General features: G+C 33.8%; 1 long non-coding RNA gene across 1 annotated transcript in view; it reads left to right on the top strand.

Moving 5' to 3' along the window:
• LOC102724355 (uncharacterized) overlaps positions 1 to 14,826 on the top strand; it is a 177,651-nt gene extending 162,825 nt beyond the window's left edge. Inside the window, exons 3-6 of the long non-coding RNA XR_430359.4 lie at positions 9,273 to 9,355; positions 12,976 to 12,998; positions 13,226 to 13,274; positions 14,742 to 14,826. This is a non-coding gene — a long non-coding RNA (uncharacterized LOC102724355). The remainder of the gene's footprint in view (positions 1 to 9,272; positions 9,356 to 12,975; positions 12,999 to 13,225; positions 13,275 to 14,741) is intronic.
• The last annotated feature ends 1,564 nt before the right edge of the window (positions 14,827 to 16,390 follow it).

Here is a 16,390-nt window from a genome sequence, read left to right as displayed (position 1 = left end):
GATCTGTAATTTCCCTATATTATAATGTTCTTGTTTTATGCTGATATCAAGGTTATACTGTCCTCATCAAGAGTTGAGAAACGTGGCCAGGCATGGTGGCTCACGCCTGTAATCCCAGTGCTTTGGGGGGCCGAGGGGGGCAGATCACCAGGTCAGGAGATCGAGACCATCCTGACCAACATGGTGAAACCCCGTCCCTACTAAAAATACAAAAATTAGCTGGGTGTGGTGGTGGGCGCCTGTAGTCCCAGCTACTTGGGAGGCTGAGGCAGGAGTATCACTTGAACCCAGGAGGCAGAGATTGCAGTGAGCCGAGATTGCGCCACTGCACTCCAGCCTGATGACAGAGAGAGACTCTATCTCAAAAAAAAAAAAAAAAGAGAGAGTTGAGAAATGTCATTGTCTTTGTTGTCGTCATTATTTGTTATCAGAGATAATCTCTAAAATTGGTGTAATTCCCTCCTCTGAGTATTGGGAAGAATTTACCAGTGAAGCTCTCTAGACCTGGAGTTTATGGGAAAAGTTTTAACAACAGAATCAATTTAATTAATACATAGAGGCATTTAAATAATTTCTTCCATTGTTTTTCATGGTACGTTTGTTTTTGAAGAATTTATTGTTTTTATGTAGTTGTCAAGTCTATTGAAGTAAAGTGGTTAATAATATTTTCTTAATGCTCTTTCAGTATTTGTGAGTTCCTTTTATTCCTGATACTGGTAAACTCTTTTTAGTTCTGATATTGATAAACTCTTTTTAGTTCTGATATTGATAACTGTTTCTTTCTTTCACTCATTAGTCTTTCTATACGACCGTTTTAGTAAACTCTCCAATAAGCCACTCAAAATAATGAGCATAGCATAGTTCCCACACTCATGGATCCAATTTGTCTACATTCAGAGGCCAGTTCTGCTACTTATGAGCTATGGCGGCTTAGGCAAATTAATTAGCCATGTGTGGCCTCATGTGTCCCTTCTTTAAAAAGGGGATAATAGTAATAATATATACCTCATAGGGTTGCTTTCAGAATGAAAAGCATTCATCCATGTAAAAAATTAAGAGCACTTACTAAACATTAGCTGTTATTATTGTATTTGTTACATTTATGTCTATTGCTCCCCAGGATGGAAAGTACAAAATATGAAAATATCAATTATTTTTAGGCACAAGAAGCTAGATCCCTAACACATCAACATTACAAAGCTAAAATTCTCACTAGGATTATTTTTGATGTTCATAACTTATTCTTCCTGTACTCCTAACTTAATTTCTCTCTAATGTATTAAAAATGGAACAAACTCCATGAAAGTTGAGGGAGAGTGCATTTGTGGGTAATTTGTGGGTAGCTCCTGGAAGAAGCTGGTAGTAGGTGTTTTGTTTGTAATTTGCTCCAGATTTCTTTTGGGCTTCATGGATGTTTAATCTTTTAATGCACTGTGGCTTCAGAAAAATGCTCAGACACAATCTCCAAAAACATCAAATCTGGGTATGCACAAACCAAAAAAGAAATTATACTGGCTCAGCCCAGATCATGCTCCCGGTAAATCAATACCCTGGGTAGTATCTTTAAAGTGGGTGCAGATGCATGTACACACCAGACACATAGACACACACAGACACACACACACACACACACACACACACACACACACACACACACAGAACAGGCAGTTCATGAATTCATGTTAGGCATTGCAGTGAATGGTTGTTGGTATCAGACAGACCTGTGTGGATTCTTGGCAGTGTCAGCTGCCTGGACATTTTGTAAGTCATGTAACTGCTCAGCCTTAGCTTTTTCATCTATGAAATATGGGCAATATCATTACAGATCTCAAAGCTTTATTGTGAGTATTAAATGGGATAATGCATTTAAAACTCTCCGAATACCACTTTACACTTAGTAATGATTCAAATGACTGTGATTATTATCACCATAGCCAGTTTTTTTTTTTTTTTTTTTTTTTGTAAGATGGCGTCTAGCTCTGTCACCAGGCTGGAGTGCAGTGGCGTGATCTCGGCTCACCGCAACCTCTGCCTCCTGGGTTCAAGCGATTCTCCTGCCTCAGCCTCCCGAATAGCTGGGATTACAGGCACGGGCTGCCACAGCCAGCTAATTTTTGTATTTTTAGTAGAGACGGGGTTTCACCATGTTGGTCAGGATGGTCTCGATCTCCTGACCTCGTGATCTGCTCACCTCGGCCTCCCAAAGGGCTAGGATTACAAGCATGAGCCACCAAGCCCAGCCACCATAGCCACTTTTAAAATACATTATCTTTTCAATATTGCCTGAAGTTTACAAACATCACTAAAACTTAGAAAATCTTAACATACATTGGCTCCTATCTTTGATAACTCCAGGGGAATTGTATTAAATTCAGCCTTCATTTCTACCAACACTGGCACATGTTCGGCACATTGTTTATTAATGTTTTTCGTGCTTTTCATGTTGAGGTCTACTCTTCAATCTTTTGAGGATGAGTGTGATTCTCTGGTTGGAGTAGAAGCTTTGTACTGTGTTCGTCAGATATGTAAATAGATTCCACTGGGAATGGCATGAAAGTATAAACTCATCTTGGAATTGTTTTTCATAATCATAAGCATTTTAATCAAAACTTAAGCTAAACAAAAACCAAGGTACTACCTCATTCATAGCTGTCTGAGTGGTAATGGTCAAGAAAGAAAGGACCACTCATTATAGAGAGATTGTATTCAATTGTAAAGCTAACCTTGAAAATTTCTAAATTATTTTCCATCCACATAGGAGAATTCTTTAGAAATATCTGTAATGATTGCTACATCCTTTAACATGGTGCTACTTTAGTCAGGAGGAAATATATCTTTGTTTTTCTGGGGAAAAAAAAAGCAGGGGTTAGTACCAAGAGGAAAAAAAAATCTTATTAATGTCTTCTCTCTATTTCAATAAATGTATATGAATACTTCAAATATATTAAAATAAAATATGCCCTTCATTTAACTAAAGGATGAATTAAGAAACTTCCTCAATAATTTCCCAAATACAATTTAATATAAAATACATTAAGTTCAAGTCATAAACAATTAATTACTGCTACCCATTTTTATTGCAGTTACATAAAAATGATTATTCACAATGCAATTTATACATGTGAAAATTAAGTTATTGTGATAAAAACATAACCACAAGAAAATGGACTATGCTGAATTTCAACTTCATTAGTTTGCAAAGGCAAGCTACTTGTTTATAGTATGTATTTTTTCTAATATATTAGCTAAAATACATTCTAAATGTAACATGTAATATATTAATGTTTTTAAGTAAAAGCTCATGTCTAGTGTAAAATGTGATAATGACGATATTGAATTCAGGAGGAAAACCAACTTTCCATATTACATAAATATTTTTTTCTCCTAAATATCCTGCTTCTTTGGCAAACATTGACTGAAAAGTGATATATATGCAGAATGCTTGTGTCTCCCCAAAATTCACGTGTTGATACTTAATACCCAATGTGATAGTATTAGGAGGCGGAGACTTCATGAATGAGATTAGTGCCCTCATAAAAGAAACCCCAGAGTTGCCTTTGTTGCCCTTTCTGCCATTTGAGGACACAGCTAGAAAGCTATGAACCAAAAAATGGATTCTCACCAAACACCAAATCTGCCAGCATCTTGATCTTAGACTTCCCTGCTTCCAGAACTGTCAGAAATACATTTATGTTGTTTATAAGCCACCTAGTCTGTGGCATTCTGTTACAGCAGCCTGAACAGACTAAGACAAAATGTAAATGGCAAGCCATGTAATGATCAAAAAGACTTGTGTGCAAGTTTATCATTAGCACATGTCACCACGTATATAGTTTACATTTCCTTCAAGAAGCAAGAGAAAATATAGAAATGGGAGGATAACAATAATAATAACTGCTACAATTTAGAGCTCATCTATTCTAGGCCAGGCACAGGTTTCAGTAATGCACATGTTATCTCTAAACAACCCTGACAGTTATCACTGCTCCAATTTACAGGAAATATATTCAAAGACATTATGTCACTTATCTCAGGTCACAGCACCAGTAAACCTTAGGGCCAGGAAACACATTTTTAAAAATACATACTTCCCATTGGTTAATAGGAAAGACAAATCTACTAACAAACAGATTCCACATTTAGTAACTTAAAAAAATGATAGGATTTATTTATCTTTCTTATGCAGAAGTCCATGAGAAGCATGGAAGATTTTCAGGTGGTACCTTAACCATGAATCTATGTTCGTTTTATTTCGTAGCTCTGCAATCCCCAGGGCTTTGATGTAGGGCCTAGGCTGGACTGACAGCCAGAACTGTCAGCAGGATAGAAGAGAGGACATGGAAAGGCCACATGAAAAAGTTTTGCCAGTAGAATGGTAAACTGAAGAAAGGCTAGAAAATGGAGTCTCGCTACGCCTCCATGTGCCCAGCTCCCATTCTATTACCATTTAACAAAGGAGGCAAGGGTCTCTGCAGTCACTTAGGCATTTCTACCTCAGCACAAATTCCTATGACTTCAATTCAACCTCTATGCTCTCGACCACCAATCTTGAGTTTTCTCTCACCACCTCACATCCCACAGCTTCAGAAGCCAGCCATGCATTTCCATTTGGAATCCTCATCATCATTTCAGAATCATCAAGTTCCAAATCAAGCTCATCTCTGCTATTTTCCCCTACACCAAAGTTACCCTCTAAATGTATCATCTTTTTTTTTTTCTTTTTCTTTTTTTCTTTGGAGAGTTTCTCTGTCACCCATGCTGGAGCACAGTGGCGCCATCTTGGCTCACTGCAACCTCCTCTTTTCAGGTTCAAGTGATTCTCCTGCCTGCTGGGACTACAGGTGTGCGCCACCACACCAGGCTAATTTTTGCAGTTTTAGTTGAGACGGGGTTTCGCCTTGTTGGCCAGGCTGGTCTCAAACTCCTGACCTCAGGTGATCCGCCCACCTTGGCCTCCCAAAGTGCTGGGGTTACAGGTGTGAGCCACCATGCCAGGTGAATGTATCATCTCAGTCAAAGACCAATGCCAAACTTTCTATTCAAGAACTCTTAAAACCCTTCTTTGTGATTCATACATTTCATTCACAAAGTCTTTCCAGATTTTTTCAAGTAAAAATTTTATCCATCCTTTCTTTAATTTTTTTTTTTACTATTGTAATCATAGACCAATCCTCCTTTATTAGTAGTATAAATTAAAATTTGTTATTCATCTACTATGTCCCAGGTACTCTGCTCATTGTTAAAGAAACAGTTACAAGAAAAACTAAATAATAATAACTAATATTTATATGATACTAAGTATTTTACACTATTCTAAGCACTTAACATAAACTCACCTATTTCTTAAGAGATTTTAAAAGATTTTATTCAAGACCAGTCTGGGCAATATAGTGAGACTTCATCTCTACAAAAAAATTAAAAAATTCTCTGAGCTTGGTGGCACTCATCTGTAGTCCCAGCTACTCAGGAAGCTGAGGTGGAAGAATCACTTGAGTCTGGAAGGCGAAACTACTGTGAGCCATGATCGTGCCACACCAGCCTGCACTCCAGCCTGAGTGACAGAGGGAGATCCTGTCTCAAAACAGACAAACACATTTCAGTTTGTGGAGAGTTGTGCAAACAAGGTTGAAGAATTATAAATACACCAGATCTTGCATCTTTTTAAGTTGTTTGAAACATTTTTGTATTCATGCTAAGAGGAATTGTGATGGTTAATTTTATGTACTAATTTGACTGGGCTAAGAGATACCTAGATAGCCAGTAAAACATTATTCCTGGATGTGACTCTCAGGGTATTTCAGAGAAGATTCCCCTTTGAATCAGTAGACTGGGTACAGAAGATCACTTTAACCAATGTGGGTGGGCACCATCCAATCTAAGTGCCCAAACAGAACAAAAAGGTGGAGGGAGGGAACATTTGCTCCCTCTTTATTGAACTGGGACATCCATCTTCTCCCGCCCCTGGACATTGGCTCCCCTCATTCTCAGGCCTTTGGACTCAGACTGAATTACACTTCCAGTTTTCCTGGTTCTCCAGGTTAATGGCAGACTACAAGACATATATATATATATATATGTATCTTGTATATATATGTATATATAGATCTTGTGTGGTGTGTATATATATATATATATATAGATAGATAGATAGATAGATAGATAGATCTTGTATATATATATCTTGTGTATATATATAGTGTGTATATATATGAAGGCTTCATTTTAATTTTTGATTAATGTAAGACTGGGTGGGATGCATGGGGAAGTCTGCAAAGGGACAGAGATTCATTTTATATGGTACATTTTACATTATTTAGATATTTGACTAAAATATTTTCTATATAAGATATACATAAATTTATATTTATATATTAAATATTTTATATATTAAATATTAAAATTAAATTTTATTAAGTTAATTAAAATATTAAATATTTAAAAATAATATGTATTTATATGTTAAATAAATGTATTTAATTTATATATTTAATAGATTTATGTATTATTTATTGTATATATATCTTTTTTCTAGGTAGGTAGGTAGGTAGATATAGATGGTTAAATATAGATCCATCCTATTGTTTCTATTTCCTTAGAGAACCTTGACTAATACAACAATAAAAATTTGTATGCAAAAAAATGACATCCTCAGATTCAAATTTTAGGATCCCTCAAGCTGTTAGGTGTAGCATGGATTAAAGAGAGATCACAGAAAGGTGGGTAGACATTTTGGGAAACCAATATCAGATGAGAATAGCTTGAGTGAACATGATGCTAATGACACCACAGATGGAGAGTAGCATAAGAATTAGAGATAAATTTAGAAGATAAAGTCGATAGAGCTGGTAATTGACTGGATACAGGGGTAAGGGAGAGAAAGTCGTATTAGACATAATGTCTGGCAGTTAGTCCTGTGTGATATGTTTTATGGAGAGAGGGAATCCTGCCATGGAGGGGTCTAGGTTTGGGAGTGAAGATCATGAGTTCAATTATGGACTTACGGTTTTGTGGTGTCTTTTAGCTATCCAAATGGACAATTATAGCATAAAATTAGATTACGTGAGCTTGACATAGAAATTTGGAAATTTTCTTAATGATTCATAATTATTATTAATAATTCATGCTCATAATTCATGAGCATGGATAATTGGGTGAAAGTATGGAGTGAGACACAGAAGGCTTCATTTCAATTCTTTGATTAATGTAAGACTGAGTGGGATACATGAGGAAGTCTGCAGAGGGACAGAGATTAATTTTATATGGTGTATTTTACATTATTTAGATATTTGACTGTAAATAAGGGACATTCATATTAAGATAAAAATTTAAAAAATTAGTTAGAGGAGGGTGGTCTGGTAAAGGAGAGTAGAAAAGAGGAGCTGGACAACCTGTATCTCATTTATCTCCCAAACCTCTGTACTTATTTTTCTTATTTTATCCCATTCCCTTTATTATTTATTTATTCTACATAACATTGTAAATGACATCTTTTAAAAATATGCCTATCTAAACATCACATCATGCATGCTATTTATTTTTTGTCACAGTAAGCATGTAGTTTTAATAAGCTATAATAGTAAATTTCACCACAATAACCATTTTTAGATCAAAAGAACAATCTAATATGAGAATAGTCAAATAACAAATGTTCCCATTATTATCATGTAACATTTTAACTATTCTGGAAATTTTAGAAATATCTTTCTTTGTAAAGAAAGGGTTCACAGAAAAGAAAACACATTTTCTTCTCTTTTGTTGTTAAGATTTATTGTTAAAGCATATGCATAGAAATTCAATAACAATTTTTGTTATATAAAAGAAACCCTTACTCAAACTATTTTTCATTTCTCTCCAGCCACAATTATATTAAAACAGACAGAACAAATGTCTGCATAGACAAAAAAAAAAAAAAAAAAAAAAAAAGGACAGACACTGCAAACAGAAAAGGGAAGGGCTGTGGTGAAAGAAAATTGATGACACAGAAATTAAATACTAAAGATCAGTGTGAAATGTTGGAAAGTGCCCACTGACTCAATAGCGCAAGATGTTTTTGTCTTTCTTTAAAATTTTATCTGTTGTAAAATCCATCCCATTTCAAGCCCACATTAACTGGTTGACTCATATACCTTTGTCTATACTTAATCTTATTATTCCTTTAAATACATAAAAATGAGCTCATGAAATAGACTCAGAATTTTCCTCCATAAGAAGACAAAATGGGGAGAACAAAGGCAATCATATCCTTTTCTTTTTTCAATGGCCACACAGTGAAGAAGAAAAAGAAAACTTAGGTTTGTTTTGGCTTGGATTTTTGGAGATGCATTGTAGACAATGTTCAGTGTCACACTGATTCAACAGATGAGGTGCTGAGGAAAATGCTTTTCCTCCTCACTCTACTCCCCTTGGCTATAAATGGCAAATTAAAATCTTAATCATTTTAAGAAAAAGTTTTGATGGCTAACTTGTAATGATAAAGGACAAAACTAATAGTTGTTACAATTACCTATCTTCAACATATTAATCCACTGGAAATGAATATAATTCAGCATATGTGATCATGGCTTCTTCTATGCAACATTCTAATCTTAAGTACATGTTCTAAGTGAGGACAGAAGTCACAGAAAAAAATTAAAAAGGCAAATTTAGGGCCAGATTTTTGTTGTTGTTGTTGTTGCTGCCACGGATACTGTTGCAGTTGTTATTGTCATTATTACTTTAATTTCATTATGCTAAATACCAGGAGCCATTAAAATACATTTCTCTATACTATGACTAATGAAAAATTAAAGCATCTACCCTAACGAGATCCTATGGAAAAACTCAATCTAAAACGTCTATATATGTCTAACTGTACACAATTTGAAGTAACTTTGGATATCAGAGAGTTTAAAGGGATATAACTACTTCAAGGCAATAAGAATAACTACAGGAGTATCTGATGGGAAAAAAGACAAAAAAAAAAAAAAAAAAAGGAATCTGACCTGAGAGATTATGTTGTAGATAACTTGAATGAGCTATTTGCAAAAACCTTAACAGACAAGTGTCATGCCTGATGGACTCAAAACAAGTTTCAATTATGCTTTAAAAGGCATTTGAAAGTACATTTCTCTCCTATGCGAAATGTGATATGATGATCCAAATGATGAAGGAAGGTCTAATTTTACACTCAAAACCAAACTCAATTTAGAAGAGGGAAAACTCACATTGGTAGACAGAAGATCATTAAGTAACCTGAAATAACGAATCATCTTTGTATGTTTTTGTTGGCATAGAAAACTGTTATAGAAGATGTCCGAGCATATGGAAAAGAACCTTGAACATGGAACAAGGAGACACGGGTTCAGCCTCTGGGCAAGTAAGTCTTGATCTTGTTATTTTAATACCATATATTGAATGCTTTCTGTGCTGAGAGTGTTGTATACATTCATTTAATCCTCACACTAACTGTATGATGCAGGCCATCTTATCTTTAACTACCTTCCTGTCTATCTACCTATATAGTTAATAATCCTAGTTGACAAAACTGAGACTCAAGAAGTTTACGAAATGTAAATTCCCACTGCCACAAAGGTAAAGAGTTAGAATTAATGTAAGTGTGTAAGATTCTGCTCTTAACATATTTTATATCACTAGTATGTAATAAGGCAAAAATATCAAAGATTATAAATCTGAATATATGCATATGTAAAATATATTATTCAGCTCATATTCTGTGTCAAAGTAATTAGGTAATTAAATGAAGAAATGAGAAGTACACATATAAAGTGCTTTGCATATTCTTATATCATTGTTGTCTAAAGGAATATAAATTTATGTTTGATTTATGAGCCAAACCATCTGTTTTCTTCCTTGAACACTAGTATTACTTGAAAGGATGACTGATGGATAGACTACGGTTACTTAAACTAGGATATATGGCAGATAGATATTTTCTCAGAAATGAAGTGAGTCTTAAATGCAAACAACAGACAGACAGTATTCAAATTTAAGTTTTCAAACAAAAATTAGAACTTTGGTATATTTGTATCTGTTATTGTGAGCTTGACCCCTTCCCAATACTTAAAGACTTTTCAGGTAAGATTAGTGGTGATATTACTGATTTTTTTAATATTATATAACAAAATGTATCAACATTTAGAATATCTGCCTAATTCAGTGAACTAATATTGTCCAAATGACCAATGCATGATGTTCCAAAATCTGCATGAATAAATGATACATTGAAAGCGAAAAATAAACCAATATTATAGGGTAACAGAGTATCAAATGTTCACTGATACCGTTTCAGATTATGCTCTGCAACTAATCTTTATGAAATTATCATTTATTTAGTTTTTGTCAAATATTAAAGAAGAATGTTCACAATTATCCGAAAGTACAATTAATTATCCGAAAGTACAATTAAAATATTGGTTTCTTTTGTATCCACATAATTGTGTGAGGCTGGATTTTCTTAGCATACGTTAATAAAAATAATGTATTGATAAACTAAATACAACAACAGTTGGAGATTCCAGTTCTATGAAACTCAAGAAAGAGAATTGCAAATATGAAATGTGCCATTATTTTTATTTTTAAAATAATACTATTGTTCATGAAAATATGTAACTTAACATATAATAAGTTTATTACAATTACTTTCAAAAATAAATACATAGATAATGTTCTAATTTCTAGTATGGTAACTATATATAGGTATGATCCACATAAACAAAAGCACTCTGGCATCTTCATTAACTTTAAAGAGTGCGTACTATTTGGAGATCGTGTTTATGACAATAACTAATGATAGTAAAATGTTTAGCCTCAAATCCAAACAGTAAATTGGTAAGTAAGTAAATGCTAACTATTATTAGGAAGTAGCTCTGATCTGCCTTCTGTGAATGAGGAAACTAAGGCAAGGTAAAATAAAGCCTTCAAGGATACTCACCTACTGAATGAATGGTGAATCTTGTTTAGTATACAATGTGTGAAGCTACAGATAATAATGCTCCTTTCCTTTACCAAATTGTAATTGGGTATACATGTCTGAGCAGGGAGTTAATTGAAAAGAAGTGGACAAATGAGATATTGGTAAGAATCAAGAATCAAGTTGGTTTCAGTTGTTTTGCAGGATCCTTACAAATGAACATTTTAGTCCTTGCTTTTATCCAGACTGAACAGTGATTTATCAGACCATTTGGCAGGCCAACTCCCATGAATTCGTCAAAGCAGCTGAGAGGTTACCATTTGCAGCTGCAAAGTAAGACCCTAAAACACTGAAATCTAACAAATTAAATTTGATTTTAGTACAGTATTATGAAATGTATCTGTGGAAAAATGACCTAGAAGAATACTCAAGATTGTTTTCATTTTTGAAACATATTTGTCAAATGTTAAGCATTCTGTGAAGTTTCTTAATTTTTAAATGTCATTTAAAAAATGAAACCACATAGATACATAATTATAAAATTATCTAGGTCTTTATTACTTGAATTATAATGAAAAAATAAGCAATAAGAAAAATAATAAGGAGAATGTATAAAGTATACTTGCCCAAAGTTAATTTCTAGGAATAAATATAGAATTATTCATTAATTTCAAAGACCCCACTTCCAAGTCCTTGTTAGGATAATTTAACTTAATTATATTTCACATTGCAAAACTGGAAAAGAACAGTTTTTAAAACTTGTTACTTTTTGATGGATTAAAGACTTACATGTTAGACCTAAAATCATAAAAACCCTAGAAGAAAACCTAGGCAATACCATTCAGGACATAGGCATGGGCAAGGACTTCATGTCTAAAACACCAAAAGCCATAGCAACAAAAGCCAAAATTGACAAATGGGATCTAATTAAACTAAAGAGCTTCTGCACAGCAAAAGAAACCACCATTAGAGTGAACAGGCAATCTACAGAATGGGAGAAAATTTTCGCAACCTACTTATCAGACAAAGGGCTAATATCCAGAATCTACAATGAAGTCAAACAAATTTACAAGAAAAAATCAAACAACCCCATCAAAAAGTGGGCAAAGGATATGAACAGACACTTCTCAAAAGAAGACATTTATGCAGCCAAAAGACACATGAAAAAATGCTCATCATCACTGGCCATCAGAGAAATGCAAATCAAAACCACAATGAGATACCATCTCACACCAGTTAGAATGGCAATCATTAAAAAGTCAGGAAACAACAGGTGCTGGAGAGGATGTGGAGAAATAGGAACACTTTTACACCATTGGTGGGACTGTAAACTAGTTCAACCATTGTGGAAGTCGGTGTGGTGATTCCTCAGGGATCTAGAACTAGAAATACCATTTGACCCAGCCATCCCATTACTGGGTATATACTCAAAGGATTATAAATCATGCTGCTGTAAAGACACATGCACACGTATGTTCATTGCGGCACTATTCACAATAGCAAAGACTTGGAACCAACCCAAATGTCCAATAATGATAGACTGGATTAAGAAAATGTGGCACATATACACCATGGAATACTATGCAGCCATAAAAAATGATGAATTCATGTCCTTTGTAGGGACATGGATGAAGCTGGAAACCATCATTCTCAGCAAACTATCGCAAGGACAAAAAACCAAACACCATATGTTCTCGCTCATAGGTGGGAATTGAACAATGAGAACACATGGACACAGGAAGGGGAACATCACACACCGGGGACTGTTGTGGGGTGGGTGGAGAGGGGAGGGATAGCATTAGGAGATATACCTAATGCTAAATGACGAGTTAATGGGTGCAGCACACCAACATGGCACATGTATACATATGTAACAAACCTGCACGTTGTGCACATGTACCCTAAAACTTAAAGTATAATAATAAAACAAAAAAACAAACAAAAAACTTGTTACTTTTTATGTGAGTTTTTTGAACATTTATAAATGTTAAATATATTGTGATTCAAATTAAAAATGTATATATTATTTGATCCAGCAATTTCATTTTGGGTATTTTTCTTAACAGATAATTGAACTGGCACAACAAAGGTAAGTTAAATATATTAATTGCATCATTGTTTATATTATCAAAATTATGAAAATGCAATGATATCTATCAATATAAGATTATTGAAATAATATATTGTGAAGGCAAAACATTTTATATGAAAATACTTTAATTGATATTTATAACAATGTTGAATGAAAATGTAGTTTAAAAAATAGAGTGATATTATTTATATAACATGTTTATATGCTTATTTCTCTTTATGCAGAAAAAGATGTCGGAAATTGTTCATCAAAAAACTGAGTGCTTATCTATGAGTATGAAGATTTCATTAATTAATCTTATATGTTATACTTTTTCACATTACTTGAATATTGTTCATAATTGCATACTATCTTTATAATATAATAAAATATTTTCATTTTCAAATATTTAACAATTTAAACAAATGTAAGCAAAATATTAAAAATAACTTGACATTAGTACGTGGAATTGGGGCAATTGCATAAGTTTTCTCATTCAAACATTCATATAAGTACTTGAAATCATGAATACAAGCATATTAACACTAGAGATTTTAGAATTCCTCCATTATTTCCCTAGTTTTCTAGCTATGATTTGATCAAACTGTGTTTATAAGTTCCTTTATATTAAATTTAGGTGGTAAGCTAGATTTAAATCTTTTTGGAGAAAAATTGTTATTTGATATTAAATGTAATTATTTATTTCACTGGAAATATAAAATATATAGCCTTCCAAGTAACAAAGGGTAATGAATTTATTGTTTAAAGAGAAACGTAAATACAGAAAATAAAAGCTGGCCGGGTGCGGTGGCTCATGCCTATAATCCCAGCACTTTCGGAGGTCGAGGCAGGAGGATCACGAGGTCAGGAGATAGAGACCATCCTGGCTAATACAGTGAAACCCTGTCTGTCTTTACTAAAACTACAAAAAAAAAAAAAAATTAGCCACGCATGGTGGCACGCACCTGTAGTCCCAGCTACTTGGGAGGCTGAGGCGGAGGTTGCAATGAGCCGAGATCACGCCACTGTACTCCAGCCTATGTGACAGAGTGAGACTCCATCTCAAAAAAATAAAATAAAATAAATTAAAATAAAATAAATTAAAAATAAAAGCTTATGCTCTTTACTTTCTACATACCATTCTATTTTCTTTATTTTCATATTTCTAATTTATGGCACTTTGAGCTACAAAATACATTTTAAAACATCTTTCAAATGCCATAAATATTTTTCAATTACTGTTTAGTGAAGGCTTCAGTAACTTGTTCCTTTCTATTTATTTTGCGTAGAACCCTAGCTGAGAGGTTTGCAAACAAGACAAAACTTCAATGTAAATTTTTAATTTGTTATTTTGGAACAAAAAATGGCAGCTGATAAGCTTTTTCAAGTAGGCATATTCTCTTTAACAATTTCAAATAAAAATCAATTCATGTATAGCCTTCAAGGACATATGATTTTACAAAGTAAATCTGACGACTGTTTGTAGAATTATTCAATAAAGAAATAATTGCTTATTTCTGGATAAAGCCTCTATTGACCAATATTAATTTATTCTCAACTACCAGACACCTAGTTCCAAACCTAGAATAAAGCTATTCTGTCGGCTCAGAGATAGCCTAAGCCTGCCTTTTCCTTGCCTACAAAATTAGATTCAAAATTTTTACCATAAGCATTCCACTCCCTCCATGATCTTATGCCAATTTACATTAGTTTGCCCCTAGATCAAACAAACAATCCCTTTCTTCCTCCTTCCCCCAACAGATCAACTGCCCTACTTGCCCACGTCTTCCTCCTGCGATGAACTCAGGCACTGGTACGCAGTATAGACATGGTACAGAGGATTGTCTCAGAGAGGTTGTGCTGTTCTTTTCCCTACTTCACCCTCCCGAGTTGTGCCATCTTGGTCATGTTGCTTAACTTACCTGTTTCAGTTTTTCCAACTGTAAAATATGGATGATAAACTTGCCTATCTATCTCATGGAGCTGTCATGGAAATATAATGCAAAGCATTTCACTGTCTCAATTTTGTTATTTGAAAAGGAGTAATTTGTAAACAAAAATAAATCCTTTCAAGTCATTTTCTAAAATTCTGTAATTGACAAATATTTACTAAAATATTAAACTGAGGATTTATAAGTTTTCTAATATTACTTTCCAAAACTAGACTATTTAAAAGGGAAAATGGCTGATAATATCAGTGCAGTTCTCAAGCAGTGTCTATCCTCTTACCTCATTATGATCTTGATGAAACACTTGCCAATATAAAATCATGACAAAGCTATTTCATGGGTGTGCACCATGAGAAAACTACTTTAACTTCAATTTTTTTTGGCTTGGTTACTTTCACTGGTCATTTTCTTTTGTTGTTGGTTTCAAAACTCATTGCTATTTCCACTGACTACTTTGGCCTCCTAGTCAATCATATCTTTTTGTAAGACCATAAAACTTTGACATTTTTGCCAAAAAGTAATCAGTATTGTCAATTTAAAATTTCCCTTGATTTCAAGATTCTCTAATACACAGTATTTTTTTTTAACTTTCCCCCATTAGTTCCATATTATATTTTACATAGTAGACATTCAATAAAAGATTCTTAAAAAAGTAAGCCTGGGTAACATAGGGAGAACCTGTCTCTACAAAAAAATTGAAAAGTAGCTGGGCATGGTAGTGTGTTCCAGTAGTCCCAGCTACCTGGGAGGCTGAGATGGGAGCATCCCTTGAGCCTGGGAAGTTGAGGCTGCAGTGAGTTGTGATTGCACCACTGCACTCCAGCCTGAGTGGCAGAGTGAGACCCTGTCTCAAAAAAAAAAAAAAAAAAAAAGAGTTTTTGTTTTAGGTAAACCACATGTCTCTTTCTATATACTTTCAACTTGGAAATGATGTTTTGTTTCAATGTAAAGAAAAAAATTAACTATTAAACTAAATAGTAAAAATAAACTCTTAACTATTAAACCAAAAGACCAGTTTATATTTGATGTGAATTCCATTTAATACTAACAAACAGGCCCTGATTAAAATTTATATAGTGATAGCAAAACTAACAACTTTTCACTCCTTGGGAGGTGGAGAAAATAAGGTGAAGAGGGTCTTAAGTTTATGGGAAAACTTCATTTTTGCCACAATAATGCCCGTTTCATGGCAACACCTACATTTTCAGTCAAATTTCCCATATAAAAGCAAGGTGTCAATGATATGTCAGTAATTCATTCACATTTTTAAATAAGAGTGCAAATGATTGAGTTAAGTATTGTCTGGGAAAATGATAACATGTAATTTGCCCAAAGGCTGACTAAAGACAGAATATTTAAACAGGACAATTAAACATCATGCTAAGCCCTAATATGTTCCTCTAAGAAGTTAAAAATTCTCTTAAGAGATTTAACTTTTTAAAAATTCTAGCTATAAACTAA

Source organism: Homo sapiens, chromosome 21 (genome assembly GCF_000001405.40).
Source record: "Homo sapiens chromosome 21, GRCh38.p14 Primary Assembly".
Taxonomy (NCBI): domain Eukaryota; kingdom Metazoa; phylum Chordata; class Mammalia; order Primates; family Hominidae; genus Homo; species Homo sapiens.
The sequence above is the reverse complement of the archived record's forward strand: the minus strand, read 5'-3'. Positions and strand labels throughout refer to the sequence as shown.